General features: G+C 52.5%; 1 protein-coding gene and 1 non-coding gene across 23 annotated transcripts in view, besides 4 other annotated features; both read right to left on the bottom strand.

Moving 5' to 3' along the window:
• The window catches only part of PGS1 (phosphatidylglycerophosphate synthase 1), a 46,011-nt gene that overhangs the window by 10,615 nt on the left and 8,813 nt on the right, over window positions 1-26,583 (bottom strand). For 16 of the 22 annotated variants that reach the window (XR_007065546.1, XR_007065547.1, XR_001752683.2 and 13 more), the window contains exons 2-7: window positions 21,380-21,569; window positions 17,660-17,737; window positions 15,694-15,793; window positions 14,508-14,697; window positions 13,190-13,368; window positions 9,956-10,477 (exon numbers count right to left, since the gene is read on the bottom strand). Coding sequence is in view for 15 of the 22 variants with exons in the window: in XM_017025357.2 (XP_016880846.1) it covers window positions 9,956-10,477; window positions 13,190-13,368; window positions 14,508-14,697; window positions 15,694-15,793; window positions 17,660-17,737; window positions 21,380-21,569 (1,259 nt within the window). In the remaining 7 variants the exon portion in view is untranslated. The remainder of the gene's footprint in view (window positions 1-9,955; window positions 10,478-13,189; window positions 13,369-14,507; window positions 14,698-15,693; window positions 15,794-17,659; window positions 17,738-21,379; window positions 21,570-26,583) is intronic. The other 6 variants (NR_110601.2, XM_047437101.1, XM_017025364.3 and 3 more) reach the window with 3 other exon arrangements.
• Window positions 2,248-2,791: an enhancer, noted in NCBI's record as "H3K27ac-H3K4me1 hESC enhancer chr17:76407335-76407878 (GRCh37/hg19 assembly coordinates)". NCBI's record gives its function as "activates a minimal SCP1, AML or CMV promoter by ChIP-STARR-seq in naive and primed H9 embryonic stem cells {active_cell/tissue: H9 hESC(naive and primed)}" and the evidence as "EXISTENCE:reporter gene assay evidence [ECO:0000049][PMID:30033119]".
• Window positions 2,792-3,337: an enhancer, noted in NCBI's record as "H3K27ac-H3K4me1 hESC enhancer chr17:76406789-76407334 (GRCh37/hg19 assembly coordinates)". NCBI's record gives its function as "activates a minimal SCP1, AML or CMV promoter by ChIP-STARR-seq in naive H9 embryonic stem cells {active_cell/tissue: H9 hESC(naive)}" and the evidence as "EXISTENCE:reporter gene assay evidence [ECO:0000049][PMID:30033119]".
• Window positions 13,012-13,517: an enhancer, noted in NCBI's record as "H3K4me1 hESC enhancer chr17:76396609-76397114 (GRCh37/hg19 assembly coordinates)". NCBI's record gives its function as "activates a minimal SCP1, AML or CMV promoter by ChIP-STARR-seq in naive H9 embryonic stem cells {active_cell/tissue: H9 hESC(naive)}" and the evidence as "EXISTENCE:reporter gene assay evidence [ECO:0000049][PMID:30033119]".
• LOC124900399 (small nucleolar RNA SNORA30/SNORA37 family) lies at window positions 13,982-14,110 on the bottom strand. Its single transcript, XR_007065992.1, has one exon. It is a non-coding gene; the product is annotated as a small nucleolar RNA SNORA30/SNORA37 family (small nucleolar RNA).
• Window positions 25,286-25,495: an enhancer, noted in NCBI's record as "active region_12894". NCBI's record gives its function as "activates an Ori minimal core promoter by ATAC-STARR-seq in GM12878 lymphoblastoid cells {active_cell/tissue: GM12878}" and the evidence as "EXISTENCE:reporter gene assay evidence [ECO:0000049][PMID:35858748]".

Raw genomic sequence — 26,583 nt, 5'->3', positions numbered from 1 at the left:
AGAAAGCTAAAGGGCCCTGTAAGTTTCTGTCACACCCAGAGAACAATATCCCCCTTTTTGCTGGGAAATGAGCCAGTCAGTATCACAGTTGGAGAAAAAGCAGGGCACGGGGTGCCACTGTGTGGCAGGGGGGGCCACACTACGAGGCCATTTCTGTAACAAGGCCACAGGCGTCCTCAGAATACTGACGTGTTACCTGAGATGACAAGCACAGTTTTGCGCCCCGTTCCACAACTTCCCGAGGTCCAGGGCCGACTCCCGCAGCCCAGCACCCATCAGAACTACTTCTAAAAAGACTGTTACCAAGACCTAGCATCCCAAGGACACGTGCTGCCTGAGACGCCCTTCCTCCCACAGGGCACCCAGGCTCGGCCTGAGCTCAAGACTTCTCTCCGTGCTGCCCTTCACCAGCACCAAGAATGCTTCCTGCCTGATGTCAGTGTGAGCAGGTGTGAGTGGGGGTGAGAAGGTAATGAGAGTGAGCAGGTGTGAGGGAGGGGGAGCAGGTGTGAGCAAGAGCGAGTGGCTGTGGGCAAGAGCAAGCAGGTGTGATCAAGTTTAAGTGGTGTGAGCAGCTGTGAGTGAGGGCAAGCAGGTGGCCACGGGCTCCTCTGGGGTGCCCTGCACTCATCCCAGCATCCCCGAGTTGCCCCTCCCCATGGGGTGTCAAGTTCTCCCCCACTGACACACCCCTTTCAAAGGACCCACACAACTGTCATGGGCGAGTCAACACAGTATGTAACATACACCAGGCTCCTAAAATAGAAGACGGTTTCCTAATCTTCACTCAGAGCAAGAGCATTTCCAAGAACATCTTGGGTAAGAGGTGACGAGGCCCTACGCCTGTTCCTGTAATGGGCTCGTCTCCACCCCTCCAAGGGCCACATCAAAGCCACTTGCTGGCCTGTGTGCATTGTGCCATAAACAGTACCGCTCCGCTGGGCCACTGGCCGTGCAGGCCGTTCACAGGACCACAGGTGTGGGCAGGCTGCCCCCTTCCCCTGGTGGCTCTGATCCAGATGGCTCACGCTGCCCAGGTTGGTCCAAGCCGAACAGCACTCATGGCCCCTCGTACACAGAGCCCCCCTCCCACCCCCTCTTCCCCAGAGCATGGAGCTGGCAAGACAAGGTGCAAGGCAGGCGTCCGCCAGCCTCAGACCTGAGACAGGAGCTTCCTCCCACCTGCCATTGCTCATTCCAACTTTTCTGATGACAAGATCAGCCTCTTAAAACAGTGGGTCTGTTCAGTGTGGCTTGTCCAGCTGGATCTCCTGAGCCCACTGAGGGAAGACTGACAGTGATGAGTAGGAAGGCCACACGCCCACATGGGTGACGAGGGTCAGGCTGCTCTGTGTCACGCCACCATGACTCGGTGTCCACCCCACAGCTCCTAGACCACAGAATCTGGTGGGGAAGGCTGGAGGTGCGTGGTTCTACACATGCTTTTTATTTGCCAAATCCACCTAAGCACTGGCTCGGTTCTTTATGAGGCCACCTAGAGGCCAGCGCTGAGGCAGACAGGCCACCTCCAGTGCACAACTTCATCATACGCACAACCGCTTCTCCATCTATTGCTCATTCCTGACCCCAAGATAGACTGTATACGTATCTGTAGACAGTCTCTATGTCTATCTATGTTTCCCATATAGAAAGAATAAGGGTTTTTCAGCAGGTGAGTGCTCAGGATTTGAGAGGTAGCTCACGTTTTCAACATACCTGAGACTGCCCAACAACTTCCCCGCCAGAATTATTTGCACTGCAATCTTTCTCCATCAGAAAGAAAATAACGACCACAGGCCAGTCTGATGCCCTCTGGGGAGCCCTAAGTAGACAGCATGAGTCAAGCACCTGCCAGGTCCAGAGATGCCACGGGGTGCTGCTGTGAGATGCCCACACCCCAGCATGCCCCACAGGCCAGGGCAGCTGGGAACAATGGTTTTTCAAGATTTCAGCTCACAAGTCAGTTTTAGCCATTGGTCTGTGCCCTGAGGACAACTGGGAAGTTTCCAACGGGAGAAGGGGAATCTAAAAGCCCTTACAGAGGTCAAGCCTGCAGTGAGCTAAGATTACCCCCACTGCACTCCAGCCTGGGCAACAGAGAGAAACCCTATCTCAAAAAAAAAAAAAAAAAAAAAAAAAAAAGCAGGAGCCCTTTAGTTCTGTTTCATCTCCCTCGCTCTAGGCCTGAGCGGTCTGGAGCTCCGGTCAGACCCGCACCACCAGTCAGGATGTCAGGCTGTGTATACACAGGGCTAAGACTATCAGGCCTGGGACTCGCTGTCGGGAAATCTGTTTCCCAGTCCAAGGCTGTAAACTGGTTATCACGCCCGACTCTTCATCCCAGGGCCTGACCTTTGGGCCTGACATCTTTACTATTCCAGGAACCATCAGATGAGGGAGACGTGCAGCAGGAACGATAGCCTGGGGAGGGAGGAAGCAGCCCTCTGCGGACCAAGTGCTTTTGGGAAGGGACTGACTGCTGGCAGTTCATGGGGCAGAGATAAATACTGCAGCCCTGGGTGCCAGAGAGGGCAGGGTGCAGGGGAAGCAGAGGCGGCTGCTACTCCACACTCACTCACTATAAATCAAGTGTCGCGGGGACACCAGAGGAGGACCTGGAGTTGGGACTGCTGCTGCCTCCCAGCTCTGGGCCTCCTCTTCAGAAAGGACGCCTGCCCCTGCTCTTCTGCACAGTCATACTGCCCTGCGGAAGGCTGATCCAGGCCTCGGCACTCCTGGCCTCCATGGCAGCGTGCCATGGCTTCTGGGCCCTTTCCAATAGGCCCTGCCCACCCTCCAATCTCAGTGCCCACCACTCCCAGTGCCCCTGCTGTTCTGCAAGCCCCATGTGGTCGAGGAGGCTCCTCATTTCTCTCCCCTCTGCCAGGAAACTCCGGCCCCAGACGGTGGCATGGATGCTCCCTCTTCACTCAGGCCAACTGCCCGAGTGTCTACTCCTCAGCGAGGCCCTCCCTGAGCCCCCTTGTAACAGATCCTGCAGCAGCCTGGAGCCTTCTCTTGCTCTGCTCTTCGTAGCTCGTTCCGATATTTGTAGAGACGCATCTGCTTATTATCTGCTTTCCATCAAAGTATAAGCCTTAGGAGGGCAGGGAGTTAGTCTGTCTGGTACCCAGTGACCCATTCCCAATGTCCCGAATGATGCCTGGGACACAGCTGGTATTTGTTAGATATCTGTTTGAATGAAATAAACAAACTGAGAGTAATAATGTCTCTCCCAAAAAAGGTCAAATTAAGTGTAAAAAAAGCTCTGACGGCCAGGCGCAGTGGCTCAACCCCGTAATCCCAGGACTTTGGGGGGCCAAGGCGGGCAGATCACAAGGTCAGGAGTTCAAAACCAGCCTGGCCATCATGGTGAAACCCCATCTCTACTAAAAATACAAAAACTAGCTGGGCATTCTGGTGCGTGCCTGTAATCCCAGCTACTGGGGAGGCTGAAGCAGAAGAATGGCTTAAACCCAGGAGGCGGAGGTTGCAGTGAGCCAAGACCACGCCACTGCATTCCAGCCTGGGTGACAGAGCAAGACTCCGTCCCAAAAAAAAAAAAAAAAAAAAAAAAAAAAAGCTCTGAAGTTTTGGTTTTGTTTTATTTTATTTTGAGACAGAGTTTCGTCTTGTCACCCAGGCTGGAATGCAATGGCGCGATCTTGGCTCACTGCAACCTCCGGCTCCTGGGTTCAAGCGATTCTCCCACCTCAGCCTCCTGAGTAGCTGAGATTACAGGCGGCTGTAACCATGCCCAGCTAATTTTTGTATTTTTAGTAGAGACGGGGTTTCACCATGTTGGCCAGGCTGGGTCTCAAACTCCTGACCTCAGGTGATCCACCCGCCTCTGCCTCCCAAAGTGCTGGGATTACAGGCGTAAGTCACAACTGCACCTGGCCTATTTTGTTTTTCTGTTTTGTTTTGTTTTGTTTTGTTTTTGAGACGGAGTCTCACCCACACTGGGGTACAGTGGCACGAGCTCAGCTCACTGCAACCTCCGTCTCCCAGGTTCAAGTGATTCTCATGCCTCAACCTCCCGAGTAGCCGGGATTACAGACATGCACCACCACACCCGGCTAATTTTTGTATTTTTAGTAGAGACACAGTTTCACTATGTTGGCCAGATTGGTCTCAAACTTCTGGCCTCAGGTGATCCGCCTACCTTGGCCTCCCAAAGTGCTGGGATTATAGGTGTGAGCCACCACGCCAGGCCTTTGCAGTTCTAAGGCAGAAGTGTATGAACATTTTAAGAGTACATGCATGAACACATACTCCTCCCTCAAGCACTCCCACAGTATTCTGCAATAAATCTTACAGGGTTCTCAGACTCCAGTAAAAACACGGAGGGGACAGAAGACATCACAGGCTTATCCTTACAGGATAAGCACTCACCTGCTCTGACATTAGTACAGCTCTGAGAAACTGTAAGGGCCCACAGGCTGGTGTGTGTGCTCAGCCTGAAGCAAGCAATTTGCACGGGCACAGCACCCCTACCACACCCACTGGGTGCCCAGGGGAGAGCCGCCTCACGTGTGGCCTAGGCAAACAGGGTGGGGCTGCCCGCCTCTCACCATCAGTTCACCTTTGGGCAGAACGCCAATTGGCCTATCAGGAAGGCAATAAAAATAGTGACATTCTCACAACCATTAACAGATTTCCCTGTCAGCATGAGCCAGAAATCTCTTAATCCAACACCTGCTCCGCCCTAGCCACCCACATTGTGTTGTTAGTGCTAGAATACTGCGTCCAGAAGAAATGGAAGTCAACATGCTAAAACTCACTTTCTGATCTTCCTCATGAAATGCACGCCGGAGGGCAGAGCCCATGTCCCAGCAGATGGACACAGCCTGGCTCAGCACAGCATGGTTCCTGCCTGAATGTGATAATGGGATGGGCACCACTCACTCTGTCCCTCACCTCCATGGAGCAGAAAGATGAAGAGAGACATAAGAACTGGCTTGACACGGTTCATACTCAGCCTCCCCTGCACTGCCTCTCAAGACCTCGAAGCGAGCTTACTGGCAACCCAGCAGATACCACACTTTCAACGGCTGACAAGGCCGGGCTGCTCCTGCCTGTACCCCACCCCCGATCAGGACCAGGCTTGGGAAGGAAAGCTCAGCACCCATCCAGATGTGTCTGCGGCAGCACGAGGCACTTCCCGTTAAGAGTCCAAATTCTACCCCAGCTCCCAGAACCTTGTCCCACCACACCTACTGGGCGAGGAGCGAGGGCCAGGCAACAGGAAACTGACAACCATGAATCAGAGGAACTGCCACCTGCCTGAGATCCAACCCAGATGCCCACTCAGCCCCACCTCCCAAAGCCAAGGCGATGCAGGTGAAGCGGCCTGGCAGCACCTTCCTTCACGACCGAATCAGCGCAACAGAACTACAGGGAGCAAGGCCAGAGACACGGCACCAAGGGATCCAAGGCCCCCACCCCACTCCCTTCTGCCAATCTATTCGCTCAGGGACGCGCAGCAGCCCTCGGCCCCCAGTGTGATTTCAACCTCCACGCGCCCCACCAAGGTGCCTCACCTGGCCTAGGAACCATACGGTTATTTTATAGAAAGTCAAATATCAGCCCTGTTCCCCGTGTCCTCCTGACAATCTAGAGCCATCCCCCCGACTGCACAGGAAAGAGGTTAAGCCAGGCCCCTCAGCTGTGGCCACAGGTAAATGTGGACTCAGAACCAGGCTTCTAGACTTCAAGTCTAGTAATCCCTATGCCAAATCACACTTGCATGGCTTCTCCTGAGTATTCTGAATAGGCACCCTTTACAAAAATCCAAATAAGAATGAAATAGATAAACCATATTGCAAAAGAAGTCTCTAGTGCATGCCTTTAAATAGTTGAGTGTTCCTCTGGTTCTTTGAAACAGCTCAATTTATTGAAATGTGATAGAGATACATGATAGACTGATTGACTGATTGATAGATAAAATATGTTAAGAAATCAGCATAGTATGCAAAAGAGGTGTATCAGGCTGTTGAACGATCGGCAAATGGTTATCACACAAGAATCTTTCCAACAAGGCATCTAAGCAACTGCCAGACAGTCCTGGCAATACTTGACAACACAGAAAACCCTTAAGAATAAAGGCCAGCCCTCTGAATTTTCTGTCACCAGACTGCACTGAAATCCACTGGCAGCTGCTGAGCCACGGGGTCATTTTACATGAGAAGGTGCCTCTTCCCCCCACGCTGCTCTTCCTTGCATCACCACACTCATGGGGCCACCAGCAAGTTCAACACAGTCACTCCGTGAAGCCTCTTGTTGCCTGGCTCCCAGAGAGTGCTGTGCTGACAGCAGAGTGCTGTCTGAGGGGCAAGGATCTAGAATCCACAGAGTCCTGGCTACCTGTCTCTGCCCAAGGGCTTCTGGGAGCAGGAGGAGCTGAGATCAGCCCAGGCCTGTCCTACAGGACCTGAGTAAGGGAGTGGAGGTATCAGTGCATAGCCACCGGCAGGAATTTTCTGGGGCCCAAACACAGACACACCCAAGGAGGCACAGAGCCTGTACCCAGCAAGTGCCTTGCAAAGGGCAGACAGTCAGGAAATGAATGGTCCACTGGGCCAGCCATCGAAATCCACAAGCACCCTGCGGCTGCCCACTCATCTCTCACCTGACACACGCTGCCCTGGAGGAAGTGACCATCAAAAGATGGGCCTGAAGAGGTGCTGACTTAAGATCCCACTGGGGACACAACCACTGAGCAGGGAAGGACCCTCGCCTCTCACTTCAGCATCAAGTGACCTCTGACCTCTGGTTCCTGGCTTTAGGGTGAAGCCCCTCTGCTCAGCAGCAGCCCCCTCCACACACCATCCATCCCTCACCCACCTCTGCCAACTCTCCCCCAATCCCATCCCCCACATGGGCACGTGCCCTGGGATCCAGCTGTAAGATCATCCCCAATTTCCCACTCATCCAGCACTCCTGGGTTGCAGGGCACCCCCCGCCCCGACCCAACACCACCCACACCAGGGCAGGAGAGAGGGAGTGGCAGAAGCACATCAGTCCGGGAAAAGGCAAGACGCCCCAGAAAAGCAGGTTGGGTGTTTCTGTTTCAGCGGTAACTGGGGAGTCAGCTCACGTTTATCAAAGCCACTTCAGGGAAATAACCCGTGGCAGAGTCAGAAGCCACAGGCCAGGAGCCTCCCACCCTCCAGGCTGAGTTAAGGGGCCTCCTCATCGTTCCAGCACAGTGCAGTTGAGGAGAGCGACGCCTAGCCACTCCTCTGCACCTCTCCAGCACACGACAGTGTGGGTCTGAGGCCTCCCCAAAGGTCAAAGCTGCCCCACTGGCCAACTCTTTCAATACCCCATCCCTGGGTACTGCTGTTATTCCCAGAAGTAACGCCAATCCAAAAATACTTTCCACACCCGCCACGGGCTGGGGCCACCTGCCCTGAGACACTGACCACCAGCCTGGTTCAGCCACAACACATGCCAGGATGGGTCCTGCAGGACAGTGTGGCAGTCACTTCCCACACCAAACAATGCCACCTGCCTAGACAGGCCTGTGGGCCTCAAAGCAGCACGTGGGATGCCCTGGACATGCCAGAAGCTTCCCATTCCAAGCTGGGACAGTGGTTCTTAAGGCTAGGCTAGGCATCAGAATCTCCTAGGGGCGTTTTTTAAACACCATGGTGGGTTCAATCCCCACAGAGGTGGATGAAAGTCTAGGGGAACCTGGGCTTCAGTTTTTTTTTTCTTTTTTTGAGACAGAGTCTCGCTCTGTTGCCCAGGCTGGAATGCAGTGGCACGATCTCAGCTCACTGCAAGCTCCACCTCCCGGGTTCACGCCATTCTCCTGCCTCAGCCTCCCAAGTGGCTGGGACTACAGGCGCCCGCCACCACGCCCCGCTAATTTTTTGTATTTTTTTAGTAGAAACAGGGTTTCACCGTGTTAGCCAGAATGGTCTGGATCTCCTGACCTCATGATCTGCCTGCCTCAGCCTCCTAAAGTGCTGGGATTACAGGCGTGAGCCACCGCGCCTGGCCGGCTTCAGTATTTCTTACAACGCATCCCCCAATTGAAAAACATTGGTTTAAAGAAAACAAAAACAAAAACAAACCACCTGAGCACCGGAAGATGCCTCGAGTCTCAACAACACAGCTGTGTGCCTACTGCAGTCCACAGCCTAGATTCCCCATCCATGGAGGCCCCCCACTCACTCAGCTCTTCCGAAAGCCACTAGAACCAGGACAAGAGAAGGAGCAAAACAGGCCTCTGGACTGCCCAGGGAGAAGCCAGAAAAGCCGTGGGATGTACTCATGGCACAGGGGCCTCCAGGCACCATTTCCCCTTCTCTAGACAGACTAGCTCCAGGATTGGGGGTCCCCAGCGTCAGAAAGGAGTCATGGTCCCGCTGCTAGAGGCGGGCACCCTCCCAGCATTAAGAGGCCATGCAGTAAGCCCACTGCTAAGCACAGGGTTTCCAGCATGTTATACCCATGTCTTAGAGAGCTGCCCCTGGGATTCTGCCCCATTTCGGCTGCTCCGCCAGATGCCTGAGAGGGATAAACATGCATTGCAGAGTGTGACCCTCTTCCTACCACCCCCACCAGCAAGACTGTGCACAGAGCCTCCATTTCCTCAGCTATGGGGAAAAAAGGCAGACATTGGCATATAGGGAAAAAAACAATAGCAATAGTGAGGAAAAGACAAGAAAACTGGGCTGCTGATGCCAAAACAAATGATCCCTAATGAATCTTCTTTCTCCCTGAGAAAGGCATTGCCAGCCGGGCGCAGTGGCTCACGCCTGTAATCCCAGCACTGTGGAAGGCTGAGACAAGTGGCTCACAAGGTCAGGCATTCGAGACCAGCCTGGCCAACATGGTGGAACCCCATCTCTACTAAAAATACAAAAATTAGCCAGGCGTAATGGTGCATGCCTGTAATCTCAGCTACTAGGGAGGCTGAGGCACAAGAATCATTTGAACCCGGGAGGCAGAGGTAGCAGTGAGCTGAGATCGTGCCACTGCACTCCAGCCTGGGCAACAGAGCAAGACTCTGTCTCAAAAAAAAAAAAAGTTGCCAACAAGCAGGAACTCTGACAATCAACACAAGGCTAAGGGCCGGGCGTGGTGGCTCACACCTGTAATCCCAGCACTTTGGGAGGCCAAGGCAGGTGGATCACCTCAAGTCAGGAGTTCAAGGCCAGCCTGACCAACATGGAGAAACCCAATCTCTACTAAAAATAAAAAATTAGTCAGGCGTGGTGGTACAGGCCTGTAATCCCATCTACTCGGAAGGCTGAGGCAGGAGAATCGCTTGAACCCAGGAGGAGGAGGTTGCGGTGAGCCAAGATCGCACCATTGCACTCCAGCCTGAGCGACAAGAGTGACATTCCATCTCACAGCTAAGGCATGTTCCTCTCCATCTCTTAGGAGAGGTTATGTCACCACATCTTTACCACAGCCACCAAATAATGTGACCATATACAGTCTTTGATGCATAAAAGAGACGGATTTTACACAACTGAAATTCACTTCTTGGGAGGCAAGGCAGGCAGACCACTTGAGCTCCGGAGTTCAAAACCAGCCTGGGCAACATGGTAAAATCCCATCTCTACAAAAATACAAAAATTAGCCAGACATGGTGGCACGCGCCTGTAGTCCCAGCTACTCAGGAGGCTACGGTGGGAGGACTGCTTGAACCGGGAAGTGGAGGTTGCGGTGAACTGAGATCATGCTACTGCAGTCCAGCCTGGGAAACAGAGCAAGACTGTCACAAAAAAAAAAAAAAAAAAAAAATTCCCTTGAGGAGATGAATGCTCGCCTCTCCCCAAGTCATGGGACAGCTATGATGTGCCTGCAAGGGCTGCTGGGAAGGTAGGAAGGGAGAAGTACAGCACTCTAACAGGTAGGCGCCAGGGCTCCCCACCCCCTGCCCATGTTTGTGGCTGTCCCACACTGGAACGTCCTCCAGCCAGCCGCTGCGCACCTTTGGCGTGGAACGTCCAGCCCCTCCGCCAGTACTCCTGAAGCTGGACCCGCTCCTGCTGTCCCAGGCTGCACACCTCACTGAAGAACTGTCGCTCGATGTGCACATAGGCCGCTGGGATGGCGCCGGCCACCCCCTTGGCCCCAAAGAAGCCATTCACCTCTGGTGAGGCCAGCAGGATCTGGTACTCAGCCCGAGTGCCCAAGACCAGGTCCATGTAGGCCTGGGTCAGGTTGAAATAGCCAGTGGTGAGGTAGACCTTTGCCCCGCGCTCCGCCTCAGTCAACAGGGTCTCAGTGACAATCTCATCGATTTGAATCTCGAAGGGCTTCATCTGAATCAGCGGATAAATCCAGGTGTCAGGGGCTGGTCTGCGATCCCCAGCAGCTGCTGCATCTTCCTGGGTCAAAAGAGAGTTGCTGTGGAAGGTCTGGGCATGCAGCATCTGCTGGCGGGTCCTGGCTGAGTTGATCACATCCATGACCCTCTTATTGGCTGCCTTGCAGTACTCGGCCCGGTCCCCTGGGGAAGACGTGAAAGAAGAGTGAAGGGAAGAGAAATGGAGGGTCTGGACTCTGCCCAGCTCAGGGGACAGGGCATGTGATAGGCAAGTGCAGACGCTACAACTGGATGTTCACTGAACACTCGCTGAGTGGGCCCAGGACCCCAAGCCCAGAGCGAGGCTCCTCTGGGGATATAGTTTGCCCAAGACAAGGGCCTGGTCCACAGTAGCCCACACTCAGGCAGAAGTGAAAGGCATGTCGACGTATCATTCCAATTACAAACAAGCTCAAAACCAGGCAAGACAAACTGACAGGGAGAGAAATCAGGATAGTGGTTACCTTTGGGATAATTCCTTGGGGGGGACATACGGGGGGCCTCCAGGAAGCAGGTCCACTAGCAGCAGGTTCATGGCTGTACACCTGCGACTGGTGCTCGGGGTGCATGTTCTACTTCAATAAGGAAGCTCAGTCAAATAAAGACATGCAAGTATAACCAAAAAAGGAGCATGCGTATTCCACAGATGGGGTCACAGGGCAAGCCATCACCTTGGATAAGCACATCACCATGTGGGAAAGCTTCCCACAGCAGTGACAGTGCCTGAGAGAGAGGAAGAACGGGCAGGCTCAGGCTCTGCATGGGGTGCCTTTTGTATTCGGACAAGACACTGGTGACAGGTGACCATGCAGACACACTGAAGGGAAAGATGCTATTATCAGACAAGACAAAGCTGAAAATTAATGAGTTAAGCATCCAACTCAGGAAGACAGGGGAAAGAAACAACAGAATAAAACCAAGAATACAGTATAGGGAAGCAAAAAATAAAAATAAGAACAGGCCGGGCACAGTGGCTCACGCCTATAATCCCAGCACAGCACTTACGGAGGCAGGAGCGGGCAGATCACCTGAGGCCAGGAGTTTGAGACCAGCCTGACCAACATGGTGAAACCCTGTCTCTACCAAGAGTACAAACATTAGCCAGGTGTGGTGTTGTGTGCCTGTAACCCCAGCTACTCGGGCAGCTGAGGCTGGAGAATCACTTGAACCTCGGAGGCAGAGGTTGCAGTGAGCTGAGATCGTGCCACCACACTCCAGCCTGGGTGACGAGAGCAAAAACTCCATCTCAAAAATATATACATACATATGTGTGTGTGTGTGTGTATATATATATATATATATATATATATATATGAATAGAAATTACTAGAATGAAAATGATACAAAAATGGAGAATATCAACTGTCCAAAGTTGATTGTCTGATAAACGATTGATAAAACAACAAGGCTTTGGCAAGGCTGATCAGGGAAGTGAAACAGGGAAGGAGGGCTGTCCCAGGTCATCCTTGCTGGCTTGCATGGTCTGAGCTGGGGGCAGGAACAGACACTCAGTGCCTTTCAGGGCTGGGCTACAGAACAAAGAGAAGGACCATCCCATGCAGGAGTCTAGCCTGTTGATGCCAACACCCTCCAGGGGAGAAAGGAGTCACACTGCCACATGCTGGACAGGGCTGCCGGAGGGAGGAGCACCGGGGGGCCCTGCGCACACCCTGAGCCTCTCTGTGGACTCATTCTCCCAAGCACAGCTGGGCTCGAGTCTCCCCGCTCCTGCTCGGAGCGTGCTGGCTCTCATCCTGGCCTAAGCATGGCCTGTTTTCTCTCATATCCATGCCTGGCCCGTTACATTAGACCAGGGATCCACACACATTTTCTTTAAGGGTCAGATGGTAAATATTTTAGGCTTTCTGGGCCAAAAGGCAAAGCTGAGGATGCTAGGTAGGCACTCAGCAAGAGAGATACAGAGCTCCACAAGCTCTTTACAGATGAAATTCAAAATACAACAGTAGGAACAGTGCATGGCGGCAGGCAGAGCATCACACCATCACGGTCGGGGTCTGAGGCCCAGGGCTCCCCTGACACAAGGACAGGGCTTCCACCAGACGGCCCACTGAAATGCTTCCATTCTAGGTCCACAAGACGCAGAGAGCTCTTCTCCCAACAAGTTCCAACTTCAGCTCCTCCTCCCCAAGTTCAGACACTGCTGCAAATCCAGCAGCAGCTCTCTAAAGGCCATGGGGGAGCCACAGCCGCAGGAATCACAGGAATGCAAATGCCCCAGAACACTCACGCCAGAACCTGCCTGGTTCCAGTGGGCAGAGCTGAGAGCTCTTCCACTTCATTTTCCAGGCAGGGGGCCACAGAGCTCAAGGGAGCTGGGAGCCACAGGCCCAGGTGATAGGCTTGGGGAAATGGGCCCTAGGCGAACAGCTGCTGGCCTGGTTGCTTCCTGTGATGCAGGGCAGGCTTCTGGGTCACTCGCCCAGGCACACGTGTTCATTGCTGAGTAGCTATTTGTTAACTGCGTCCTGACCTGAGTTTGTCACCCCCCTGCTAGTTCACCTGAGACCTGGGTCACTAGGACACGCTGCTGCATACCCTTGCCTGAGTCCTCCTCACCTGCGTCTTCCCTCCCTGTAGTGCAAACCTGAGTGACTCCGCCTCAAGGAGTAGGAGTCCCAAGCCCAAGCTCCCACCTTTCTGGGCTGGCTCTCTCACCCACAGAGCATGACTGATGGTCAGTGAGTCACATCTGTCTGGCTTCAAGGACAAAAGCAGAATGAAGCCTTGCCACCCAAGTCCCCTATGCCTGTGGCAGAACCACCTAGAGTTGTGCTCTCCCGGGCCCTCACTCCACCCCACCCACAGCCATAGAAGGGTGTCAGCGGCAGCCCCTACCTTTGTAAGGATGCACCATCCCATCCACCACCTGCACCGTGTCGTCCCCCTGCAGCTGCAGGGACACATCCCCCACCGCGTCCACCAGCTCCGTGAAGAAGTCGGCAATCTCCGCACAGTCCTGCAGGAACACGTAGCGGTCCTGGCGGTTGGTGAAGTAGGAGTCACTCAGGTTTGCACTACAGGGAGGGAAGATGCAGGTGAGGAGGACTCAGGCAAGGGTATGCAGCAGCGTGTCCTGGTGACCCAGGTCTCAGGTGAACTAGCAGGGGGGTGACAAACTCAGGTCAAGATGCAGTTAACAAATAGCTACTCAGCAATGAACACGTGCAAAAGACAAAGCCAGAGTTGATCCAAGGTGACACAGCAAAGTGACCCACAGCCTCCTCCTCTCAAGGAGCCGACAGTGTAGCTGAGAAGAGGAGATGCAGACACAGAAAGTCAACTAACCACACAGGGCTTTTTTTTTTTTTGAGACAATCTCATTCTGTCGCCCAGGCTGGAGTGCAGTGGCATGATCTTGGCTCCCTGCAGCCTCCGCCTCCCAGGTTCAAGTGATCCTCCTGCCTCAGCCTCCCGAGTAGCTGGGATTACAGGTGTGTGCCACCACACCCAGCTAATTTTTGTATTTTTAGTAGAGACGGGGCTTCACCATGTTGTCCAGGCTGGTCTTGAACTTCTAACGTCAGGTGATCCCTCTGCCTCAGCCTCCCAAAATGTGGGATTACAGGCGTGAGCCACTGCGCCCGGCCCATGCAGGGCTATTTATCAGCGCCCATGTTTGTTTGTTCTCTCTGTCCCACTAAGTGACAGCTGCCACTGGTACAGTCCCAGAGCAAGGATGCAATCAAGGGCTTTCTCTCAGCACCAGCAACCCAATCCTGGCCCCACTGCCGAGGGGAGGGCCTGTGAAAGGGCCCATATTTATCAGCCTAAGGACCTGGACTTCCAGGTCTGACTCTTGTTTATTTTTCTGGCTCTGTCTACCTGACAAAGTGACTCATCCTCTCTGATCTGTTTCCACATGTACACAGTGAGGAAAATACTACAGAGGGTCACTGAGGGTGGAAACAGACAACATACCTGAGTGGCCAGCACAGACTAAGTGCCCTGTCAACAGTGGCTTCCAGTCAGCCCCCGGGGAATTCTAGCCTCAGTGGCAGAGACAGTGTCGGGGAGGTGCCGCGGGTGCACAGCAGCCAGACCTACAAGCAGGTTCTCCAAGACTGAGGGGAACGGGTTTCCCACTGTTCCTATTCCACTGCCCTCCAGCCTGCAGAGCAGGAGGGCAAAAGCACTGACGGTGGGAAGCACTCACCCGCTCAAGATGACGCTGTTGTCGAAGAGGTACACCTTAATGTGCTGGAGGCCGATGGTCTCGTTGAAGCGCTCAGGGATGAGGAGCCGAAGCAGCCCACGGAGGTGCGGCGTGTGAAAGAGGGAGACTCGGACCTGCTCTGGGAACCTCCGCAGGAGTGGGAGCAGCATTGTGCGGGAGTTCTTCCGGCCTGAACACGGACAGAGAAAACGGCACCTGACTCACAACAGGAAGGCGTCCTGCCCCCAATGAGGAGCCACCTCCACGTGGCCTCGCCTTCACCTGTGCCGTCCACCTGAATCAGTCACACCAGCTGGGGCTACTCCTAGCCAGAGGACTTCCAGGCCAACCTCTGTCCTGCATGCTGGCCATGTCTCAGGCCTGAAGTCCTCAGCGTGGCAGACGCCTGCTCTTCTTGCCACACAGCACCCATTCACCCTTCTCCTGGTAACTGCACCCAACCTTCTCCTGGGGCACTACCCCACCCACTCGCAGCATTTCTGCTCTGGGTGAAGACGACCCTACCCACCTTGCCCCTCACCCCCAGCTCCATGAGGGAGCACGCAGGCCTGGGCTGGGCTACTCGGCACACTCCAAGCTCCCAGCTGGGCATGCCACCGTCAGGCCAGTCAGGAGCTTTGACCCGATTCTCATGGAATCAGACTCTTCCAAAAGACAAGGTGTCATGGGGAGACAAGCCTAAGCCACCAGGGGCCACCACACAGAGCCTGAGAAGGAAGCCAGCCCAAAGGAAACAGCTAGGGGATGAATCCTGGTGACACGGCCAAACCCCAAATCACAAGCCACCCAAAGCAGATCAGTCACAGGAGTCCACAAAAAGTCTTTTTGCCTAAGGCAGTTTTTCATGAGACAAAGTCTGGCTATGTTGCCCAGGCTGGACTCAAACTCCTGGCTCAAGCAATCCTCCCACCTCAGCCTCCCACGCAAGTGGGACTACAGGGCATGCCACTGCACTCGGCTCCTGCCTAAGCTGTTTTTAGTTGGGCTTTCAGTCACTTGCTGAAGAAAAAAATCCTAACTCACACAATCAGGCAGCCCTGGGCCAGCTTGGATGATCTTCAAATAGCCTTGACTCTGCCTGGGGATGAGGGGGTGACAGTAACCCCTCTTGGGACTGAGGATCTGACACAGGAAGCAGGAGGGGCCAGGCTTGCATGCCACCTACCTCGTGAGCCCCGCGTGAAGTCTAAGAGAATGGAGACCTTGAGATTTGAAGGAAACTTTGCTTGGAGTGACTTTTCTAGAGTACTTTCCAGGCAGTCCACCTACCAAGAAAGAACACAGAAAAGAAGATTAAGACCCAAAGAGGTGTGTGTATTTAAAGAAAAACAAATCGCCCCATCGGCTAGTGCCCTCGTCATCTTCTCCAAAGATAGGTTTGTGCCATCAGCACTCGGACACCAACACCACAAAAGCTATCTGTCTGAGAGCACCTTCATGATCATCAGAAGAAGCACCCAGGGGCCTGATCGGCCCAGGCCTCCAGGAATGGAAAGGGACCTGCAGGCAGAGGCGTGCTGCCTGACAGCCAGCCCGTGCCACCCTGGAAACGCTACGACACCAGGTCTCACGTACATTTCAACACAGACAATCCTCACAGACACAACCAACAGTGCCCTCCTCGTAAAGAGTGCTTAGTAAATATTTGGCAGATGAATGAATCCAAGACACGGCCTGCCCACTGGCCACTCTCCGCAGTGCGGACATTCCATTCTTCTCCCATGAGAACACACAGGCTTCCAGGCTTGGAGTGGAGGGTATATCCTAAAAATAGAGGGAGGCGGCCGGGCGCAGTGGCTCAGGCCTCTAATCCCAGCACTTTGGGAGGCCAAGGTGGGCACATCACCCAAGGTCAGGAGTTTAAGACCAGCCTGACCAACATGGAGAAACCCCGTCTCTACTAAAAATACAAAATTAGCTGGGGGGGTGGCGCATGCCTGTAATCCCAACTACTCGGGAGGCTGAGACAGGAGAATCGCTTCAACCCAGGAGGCGGAGGTTGCGGCAAGCCGAGATCGCGCCATTGCACTCCAGCCTGGGCAACAAGAGCAAAACTCCGTCTCAAAAAAAAAAAAGAGGGAGGCCTCCTTCCTAGGAGAGGCAGAAAGGGGAGGTGTGAACCCACTGCACCTCCCTCTCCACACTCCAATCCCTATAGCTCCCACCAGTAACTCTGAACAAGGACAGACCAAGAAACGGCACTAACTCTGGGCAATGGGCCCGTCTGTTTCACTATACCGAGCGGAAAGCAATCCCAGGAGACCCAAGAGAAAGCAGTGATCTCATTCACAGACTCACTTCAGCTGAGCCTCAGATCCCGCCATGCACCAGAACCTGCGCTGGCCCCAACACCTCATATAAACCTGGTGACTGCTGGCTCCTTCCCACCCACCTATCTCACTGTAAGTGACAAGTGTGGCACAACAGCAAGTCCGAGGGAAACAAGGCTGGCCGCAGCCCTGGCACTTGACACCAGCCCTTGGCAGAACGAGCCAGCCAGCCCAACTTGCACTCAGGTCCGTTTGTCTAGTACAGGGTCAGAAAGCCTTTTGTGTAAACGGCCAGAGAGTAAATATTTGGAGCTTTACGGGCCAAATGGGCACTGTCACAACTACCCCGTTCTGCCACTGCAGCATGAAAGTGACCACAGACAATACACAAATGAATGAGTGTGGCTGTGTTCCAACAAAAGTTTGTTTACCAATACAGAAATTTAAAGTTTTCATAAGTCACAAAATATTATTTTTTCTCTTCCCCAATTATTTGAAAATGTAAAAACCATTCTTTCTTAGCTCACAGTCTACACCATAACAGGTGGCAGGCCACAGTCGGCCAAGCCCTGAACTGGCAGACAGAGCTGCCTGGGGCCCTGTGTGGGTAGGAGGACACTGCCAGTGAGGCCTAGAAGGCCCAGACCAGACCTCTTCAAGCTCTCCTCACCAGGCCCTCCCCCATGCTCTCCTCACCAGGCCCTCCTGACATGCCCATATCTGGGGCAACAAAAACAAGAGCTGGCTCTGACATGGAGGCCAAGGAAAGGCAGCTCCACACCAACTGCATGGCACAAAAAGCTGTGGCATGTTGGGGCCCATTCACTATTGCTGCCACAACCATCTCCCCATAAACCTTACCAGCTCCTGTTCCAAAGGACCTGTCCCCAGGTAGAGGGATGCCATCACGACCCGCCTCTTGGCTACTCTTATCTGCCCCTGAGAGAGGAGAAAAATTCAAAATTCAAATTCATCATTTTCATGGTTCACTAAGAAAACAGAACCCTTTGACCTGGGAGGCAAATCCCACTCCAAGCTGAACTATCCTATGTCTTCACCAATTAATATTTAAAGCAAGCTCGAAACGTGTATGGTAACCTCCCAAATAAGGTCCCACAATCCTAAATGAAAATACTCAGCCTGAAAAGTAAAGCTCAGTCTAGGCCAACTATAAAATGCAACACGGCCATTAAGAAGAATGAAGGCAGGCTGGGTGTAGTGGCTCACGCCTATAATCCCAGCACTTTCGGAGGCCGAGGCAGGCAGATCACTTGAAGCCAGGAGTTTGAGACCAGCCTGGCCAACATGGCGAAACCCTGTCTCTACTAAAAACATAAAGATTAGCCACGCCATGGTGGCGCGTGCCTGTAATCCCAGCTACCTGGGAGGCTGAGGCAGAAGAGTCACTTGAACCCAGGAGGCAGAGGTTGCAATGAGCTGTGATCACACCACTGCACTCCAGCCTGGGCAACAGAGCAAGATTCTGTCTCAAACCTGCCCTCTTTACCTTCTACCCATCTGCAGTTTCCAATGTCCATACTGGGCACGAATCACTCTTGAAACATAGATGGACAGGTATATAGACACATGAGCAGAACACATCAGTGCCCCAAGATGATACCCCAAATCAGTCCTAACAGCCAGGGGGCCTCTCCCTAGCAGCTCCACCCCAGAGAAGGAGGCAGGGGTACAAAGAATGGCAGTGCTACCATAGGTCAAACCCCCAAAAGATACATAGGAGACCCAGGTGAGAGGGAGGCAGCTTCACATCTACCTGCTTCCCTATGAGAAGGAACAACACAGCCCACCCTGCATTGTCAACACAGGAAGACAGGCAACTTGACTAGACAGAAACATGAACAATCACTAGGAAAGGCTTCCGGACAAGGAAAAAACAAAGCAACTTCCCAAGGTTGCTATTTCCTTTGTTTTGTTACCAATTAAAACAGATGTTTGTGGGGGTGATGATTATAAAGAAAGGGAAAAAATAAATAAGGCATAAGACAATTTAGTTCAGGCAACCGAAGCATATCTGACTGTTTACTACAGGACACCAGGCCCCACAGCTATAATGAAGACATGGGGACCAGGCAGAAACCAGCACTGTCCTCCCTTCTCGCTGTGCGCCCTGGGAAGAAACACGTGCTACTCGGTGTGACACAAACCAGAAGAATCTGCCCACACTTCAGCCCAGATGGCAGGGAAAGGAGGCCCTGGGGTCTTCTCGGCCTGCTGAGGCAAGCCTCTCTGCCCCTTCCTGCTCTCTGCAAGCCCACCCTCCTCAGGCAGGGCCCGACCTCCTGGCCAGGGGATCACTATGTGGAGACAGTCAGTCATCCTCCCAGAGTCAATTAGGACAGAGAAAACTGCCTTTGAAAAACCTGTTTCTTCAGGCTGGGCACGGTGGCTAATGCCTGTAATCCCAGCACTTTGGGAGGCCGAGGTAGGCGGATCACCTGAAGTCGGGAGTTCGAGACCAGCCTGGCCAACATGGAGAAACCCTGTCTCTACTAAAAATATAAAATTAGCCAGGCATGGTGGTGCATGCCTGTAATCCCAGCTACTAAGGAGGCTGAGGCAGGAGAATCACTTGAACCCAGGAGGCAGAGGTTGTGATGAGCCGAGATCGTGCCATTGCACTCCAGCCTGGGCAACGAGAGCGAAACTCCGTCTTAAAAAAAAAAGAAAAGAAAAGAAAAGAAAAACCTGTTTCTTCAAGCCAAGGAGAAAATCAATTAGGAGCAAAGAGCCAACAGTTGCAGCATCATTCGGTACAAACAAGGACAGGTGAGCAGAGCAGGGAGGCAGGTGAGAGGGGAGAACAAAAGGACACGCCTGTGTGCACACAAAGAATGCACTCTGAATGAGCCAGTCAAGCTAAGCGTGGATCAACAAACAGAACAAAAGCGCAAAAGGAGAGAAAATGGGCAGGCACTCAAATGAGTGAGTTCATTTTCTGCACAAAGGTGAAAGGGGAGTCTCTACCCAGATTTCCTATTGTCTCTCAGCATTCTACCTGCTTGCCTGGCCCCATCAGACCTTCATTCTTTTTTTTTTTTTTTTTTTTTTTTTTGGGAGATAGAGTCTCGCTCTGTTGCCCAGGCTGGAGTGCAATGGCGCGATCTTGGCTTACTGCAACCTCCACCTCCCGGGTTCAAGCGATTCTCCTGCCTCAGCCTCCTGACTAGCTAGGACCACAGGTGTGTGCCACCCTTCCGTATTTTTGGTAGAGACAGGGTTTCACCACGTTGACGAGGCTGTTCTCGAACTCCTGACCTCAGGTGATCCACCGGCCTCAGCCTCCCAAAGTGCTGGGATTACAGGCATAGGCCCCACCACGCCTGGCCTAGACCTTCATTCTAATATCACTGCTAATACAAACTCAGAGTTCATGCTGTTAAAAATCAGTGTTGATTAGTGTTCATTCCAATGAGCAGTTTAACCAGAATAACCAGATGTGGCATGTAAACCTGAGTAACATGTTGAAAGCTGAACCCCCCAAATGCAAAACTTACATCACTACCAGGAGAGGAAAGGCACACACTTAAGACAGAGTCCCTAAAGAACCAAGACTACAAGCCTTAGACCCAGGATGTCTAGATTCCCAGTTACTTTGAAAGGCCTCTTCATGCATATCAAATCGCACCCACGAGTTTTTACTTCCTACTACATCTACCAAGATGACACTACTGTGTTTGGAGATGATTCCCGGGTTAGGGGTCCATCATACACAGACTAGATAAAGATGCCCTCCTCCCCTGTCACCTTTAGCAAGGACATACCCATGTGACCCACGGGTCCTCAGTCCTCACCAACCTCCCTTCCCGTGGTCCACAACTTCACCATGGAGGAAAAGGAATCAGTGCGCCCATAAGAATCAAAGTCTAGGCCGGGCGCGGTGGCTCATGCCTGTAATCCCAGCACTTTGGGAGGCCGAGGCGGGTGGATCACGAGGTCAGGAGATCGAGACCATCCTGGCTAACACAGTGAAACCCCATCTCTACTAAAAATACAAAAAATTAGCTGGGCGTGGTGGCAGGCGCCTGTAGTCCCAGCTATGCGGGAGGCTGAGGCAGGAGAATGGCGTGAACCCGAGAGGCGGAGCTTGCAGTGAGCCAAGATTGAGCCACTGCACTCTAGCCTGGGTGACAGAGCGAGACTCCATCTCAAAAAAAAAAAAAAAGAATCGAAGTCTAGGCCCGTGGCCGCACACAGTGGCCAGTACTTTGGGAGGCCGAGGCAGGGGGATCACTTGAGCCCAGTGGTTCAAGACCCATCTGGGTAACATAGTGAGACCCCCTTCTCAAAAATAACAAAATTAGTAAATAAAAATAAGGTCTAGGTCCTTGTTCTCACTGTTGCCTTCTCAGAGCTTCTCCACCTGAGACGCTGGCCCCACAGGCAAGTTTCTGACTGTGGCTCAGCTCAACCATCTATGAAGCTGAAACCTGACAGGTAAAACCCAGAAGGAATAAGCTTGAGCAGCTATCCAAAGTTTCTAGACTAGAAAGCACTCAGGACTCACCAACCTGATCCCCCAAAAGCTCTAACTCAAACTTCTTTCCTTTAGATACCACTTACCTTCATGAGCTCGAAAAACTCTGCCGGGGAAGAAAGCACCCTAACGTGAGAACTGGAGACTCCAAATTCTGGAACCAGGTTTCTGATCCACTGGAACCGGTGCACGCCTTCTGGACACAGGCAGCAAGGTGGGGAGGTGACCTGGGGAACAGCTGGGGACAGCAAGGGAGCCAATAACAGCCATGGTGACCTGGTTAAAGAAATATGCAACTGGGTCACACCTCAAATACCTCAAATACTTCTGCAGAAGCCCCCCTCAGTTACTGGGGAGTGAAGAGGGGCTGGGAGATGGGTGCGTTGCTTGTGTTATGAATGTCAGATTTTCTAGAACATTTTAAAAAGTGAGCCCAACTCAAGCTCTGCTAAAGGATTTTTCCTTCAGCCCCCTTTCCTCTTATTCCTTAAAGAGCCTACTAACTGAGCAACTTGAGAAGTGTCAATACCTATAGATAAATCCCAAACTTTAATTCCAAACAACTCAGGAACCAAATTTAGAGCATCCACAAGTAAACTCATAAAAGCTACCACATGGTTAGCTACCACATGGCAACGTTCTAATGAATCTACCTCAAAAATATTTGCCTGCAGCCACCACTAAAAGACACCTAGCAGAAGGGTAAGTCTGGCAGAAGTCTGATGATTACAGCCCAGATGCCCCGCTTTATGACTCATGAGATAAACAAGATTTCTATTCAAGGAAGCACCCAGAAAAAGAAACTTTTCTCTTTAAAAATCCAATTTATGCCGAGCATGGTGGCTCAGGCCTATAATCCTAGCACTTTGGGAGGCCAAGGCAGGACGAATGCTTGAGTCAAGGAGCTCAGGACCAGCCTGAGCAATATAGCAGGACCCAGTGTCTACAAAAAATTGTTTAAAATTAGCTGGGCAGGCTGGGTGCAGTGGCTCACACCTGTAATCCCAGCACTTTGGGAGGCCGAGGCAGGTAGACAACCTAAGGTCAGGTGTTTGAGACTAGCCTGACCAATATGGTGAAACCCCCTCTCTACTAAAAATACAAAAATTAGCCGGGCGTGGTGGTATGTGACTGTAGTCCCAGCTACTTGGGAGGCTAAGGCAGGAGAATTGCTTGAACCAGGGAGGTGGAGGTTGCAGTGAGGCGAGATCGCACCACTGCACCCCAGCCTGGGTGACAGAACGAGACTCTGTCTCAAAAAAAAGTTACCTGGGCATGGTAGCACAAACCTGTAGTCCCAGCTACTCAAGAGGCTGAGGCAGGAGGATCTCCTGAGCCCAAGAGTTCAAGGCTGTTCTCCCAGCTATGATCATGCCATTGCATTCCAGCCTGGGTGGCACAGCGAGACCCTGTCTCAATCAATCAAAATCAGACTCGGAAAGAAAAGCTGGAGCAGGGAGAGACGGGAGCAAATGAGCTCCTCTCAAGAGTGATGATGAGCCGTGGCCGCGCACGGTGGCTCACGCCTGTAATCCCACCACTTTGGGAGGCCGAGGCGTGCAGATTACCTGAGGTCAGTAGTTCAAGATAAGCCTAGCCAACATGGTGAAACCCCATCTCTACTAAAAATAAAAATACAAAAAAATTAGCCGGGCATGATGCAGATGCCTGTTATCCCAACTACTCAGGAGCCTGAGGCAGGAGAATCGCTTAAACCTGGGAGGCGGAGATTGCAGTGAGCTGAGATGGTGCCACTGCACTCCAGCCTGGGCAACAGAGCAAGACTCCATCTCAAAGAAGAAAAAAAAAAGAGTGATGATGAGCCATACTCATTCACCATCAGACACATCCTGTTTGGTGGGGTCACACACCATTTCTGGCCAGTGTTAGCTCGACCACATAAAGCTGCACCCCAGCGGACTCCACACTCCACTGAGGCCAAGGCTGAAGGAGATGAATTTCTGCCCACAGAACTTCATTTCTGCTGCTCAATGACTAAAAACCTGCGGGAGATGGGGGTGGAGGGACCGCACACCCAGAGCCCCACACAGACCTGACCTACTATGAATCCTAGTCCTGCAAACAGCAGCAGGAAAATCCTCTTCAGTGTGTGACCTCAAGAGGGACGTGGGGGAGAGGATGCTCAAACATCCCAAGGCCTGAATGGCCACAAATTCCAGGAAGATGATTTCACTCACTTGCTTCATGATAAAGCCCTCAATCTTCCCAGGCTTCGTAAATGTCCCTGCACAGACAACAGATGGCCCACAGCTGCACTTCCCAGAAAGCCCACCGGTCTGTCACTGCCGATTCACTGCCAAGAAAACCTTAGTCAACAGCAGAAGGTGCTGCCTCTGTGGATCCTGGAAGTCTGCGACTGGCCGTGGCCACCCAGTGCAGAGGTGGGAAACAGCTGTTCCTCCCCCACCCCCGTCTCTAGAGGGGGTGATGACACTCACAGGCATCAGCTTGCAGATGAAGGGCCTAGATGTGTAACGCAGGGCTCGCTGCCTGGGTTTCCCAAATCCTGGGCCACCCTCCTGCAAAGCTCAAGAGAGGAGAGCGAAGGACCCTTCAGTGCAGCAGAAACCACCGGACAATGGGAAAGGTGCACAGCAACCCATCAACCCGAGGCCCCAAGGGGCCTAGAGTCTCATATTCACTAATGAAACATGGTCGGGGGCGGGGGAACAGGCAACAGCAGCATAAAATCAATGTCTCCCCTGCCTCACAGCATTTCTGCCATCTCTCAGACCATCCAAAAATCAGGTGCCGCTGTACTGCTCCAGGTCATGTGGTCAGTCCACACGCGGCCTTCAAAGAAGCTGAGAGCCGCAGCCCAGCACAGTGGCTCATGCCTATAATCTTAGCACTTTGGGAGGCCAAGGCGGGAAGAAAACTTGAGGTCAGGAGTTCAAAACCAGCCTGGCCAATATGGTGAAACCCCGTCTCTACTAAAAACACAAAAAAATTAGTTGGGTGTGGTGGTACATGCCTGTAATCCCAGCTACTTGGAAGGCTGAAGCAGGAGAATCGCTTGAACCCAGGAGGCGGAGGTTGCAGTGAGCCAAGATTGCACCACTGCATGCCAGCCTGAGTGACAGAGTGAGACTTCGTCTCAAAAAAAAAGGGGCCGAGCACGGTGGCTCACGCCTATAATTCCAGTACTTTGGGAGGCCGAGGCAGGTGGATCACCTGAGGTCAGGAGTCCAAGACCAGCCTGGCCAACACGATGAAACCCCGCCTCTACTAAAAATACAAAAATTGGGCCGGGCATGGTGGCTCATGCTTGTAATCTCAGCACTTTGGGAGGCCAAGGCGGGCAGATCATGAGGTTAGCAGTTCGAGAACAGCCTGGCCAATATGGTGAAACCCTGTCTCTCTAAAAATACAAAAATTAGCCGGGCATGGTGGCGCACACACCTGTAGTCCCAGCTACTCAGGAGGCTGAGGCAGAAGAATCACTCGAACTGGGAGGCGGAGGTTGCAGTGAGCTGAGATGCTGCCGCTGCACTCCAGCCTAGGCAACAGAGCGACACTCCGTCTCAAAAAAAAAAAATTAGCCGCCCGTGGCTGAGGCAGAACTGCTTGAACCTGGGCGCCAGAGGTTGCAGTGAGCCGAGATCACACCATTGCACTCCAACCTGGGTGAGAGAGGAAGACTCTGTCCCCCCGCAAAAAAAAAAAAAAAAAAAAAAGGAAGAAGAGGAAACACTCCTTGGCACATAGCAACCCAGGAGAGGGCAAGTTCAACTTGTTCAACTTAACCCTCAACAAAGCCATCATGTAAGCACATATGACATACCATGGAGGGTACAAATGAAGAACCAGGCAGTCTCTGCCTCCCACAACCTTGGTAGCCTCACAGACTTACACACCTGACATCATCTAAGAACACAAGAAAAGATGCTAAAATTAAATCAATGTCCAAATAGTGCATGTGCTTCAAGGCATCAAAAAGGGGAACTGGTGATGCCTGGGCTACTGGGAAGGTTCTGCAGCATTCTCCTCCAGTGGCCTCAAAAAGCTGGTAGGATTCAAACAAGGAACTCAGAGGGGAGGGTGTTTCAGGCAGGAAGTGTGAAGGGACGTAAGCAGAAGAAACTGGGCTGGGTGCAGTGGCTCACACTTGTAATCCCAGCACTCTGGAGTCTAAGGCAGGAGAATCACTTGACACCAGGAGCTCCAGACCAGCCTAGGCAACATAGCAAGACCCTGTCTCTACAAAAAATAAAAAATAAAAAAAAAAAATTAGCCAGGCGTGGAGGCATGTGCCTGTAGTCCCAGCTACTCGGGAGATTGAGGGGGACGATCGCGTGACCCTAGAGGTCAAGTGCAGAAAGAAAGAAACAGGAACAAGACCACTTTCAGCAGAAAAACCCAAGAGGGCCTCAGTAGTCCAGAGAAAACACACATACACAGAGCCTACACAGGTGTCAGGGTTCACCTATCACCTCCGTCCTACCTGCGGAGACCCACTTTGGCAGGTACAGGGCTGATGAGCCCAGAGCCCCTGGAGTTATCCTAGGCAGGTCTCCTCCTTACCAGGCAGCTCTCACTGGGAATGTTCCACGAGGGCCTCAGGCCAAGAGTTCTTGAAGGCTTTTTTATGCTGGCTTCCTGTTTAATCTGTGTACTGACAGGTTTATTTTTGTTAGAGAGGAAAAGGAGCTGAAAGCCAACTACGTTTCATGGATACATTATGGAGGAGACTCAACCTTCAAGTGGCAATTTTAAATACCCAAAAAAGGAAGGTGCATAAAAAAGGAGCTGAGTGTTTTACACAGGTCGCCACAATGACAACATATGCCAAGGAGACCACATCTGGACTAGTGTCACTCAAAAAAACTAAATGGCCAGGCACGGTAGCATGTGCCTATAATCCCAGTGCTTTAGGAGGCTGAGGCAGGAGGATCACTTGAGGCCAGGAGATCGAGACCAACTTGGGCAACATAGAGAAACCCCCTCTCTAGAAAAATTAAAAGTTAGCCAGGCATGGTGGCGTGCACCTGTAGTCCCAGCTACCAGGGAGGCTGAGGCAGGAAGACTGCTTAAACCCAGGTGTTCGAAGCTGCAGTGAGCCAAGATTGTGCCACTGCACTCCAGCCTGGGCGACAGAGCGAAACTCCACCTCAAAAAAAAAAAAAAAAAAAGGCTGGGCGCGATGGCTCACACCTGTAATCCCAACACTTTGGGAGGCCAAGGCGGGCATATCACCTGAGGTCAGGAGTTCAAGACCAGCCTGACCAACATGGAGAAACCCCATCTCTACTAAAAATACAAAATTAGC

The sequence above is a fragment of the Homo sapiens genome, chromosome 17 (assembly GCF_000001405.40).
Source record: "Homo sapiens chromosome 17, GRCh38.p14 Primary Assembly".
NCBI classification, from domain to species: Eukaryota; Metazoa; Chordata; class Mammalia; order Primates; family Hominidae; genus Homo; species Homo sapiens.
This window is presented reverse-complemented; position numbering and strand designations above follow the sequence as displayed.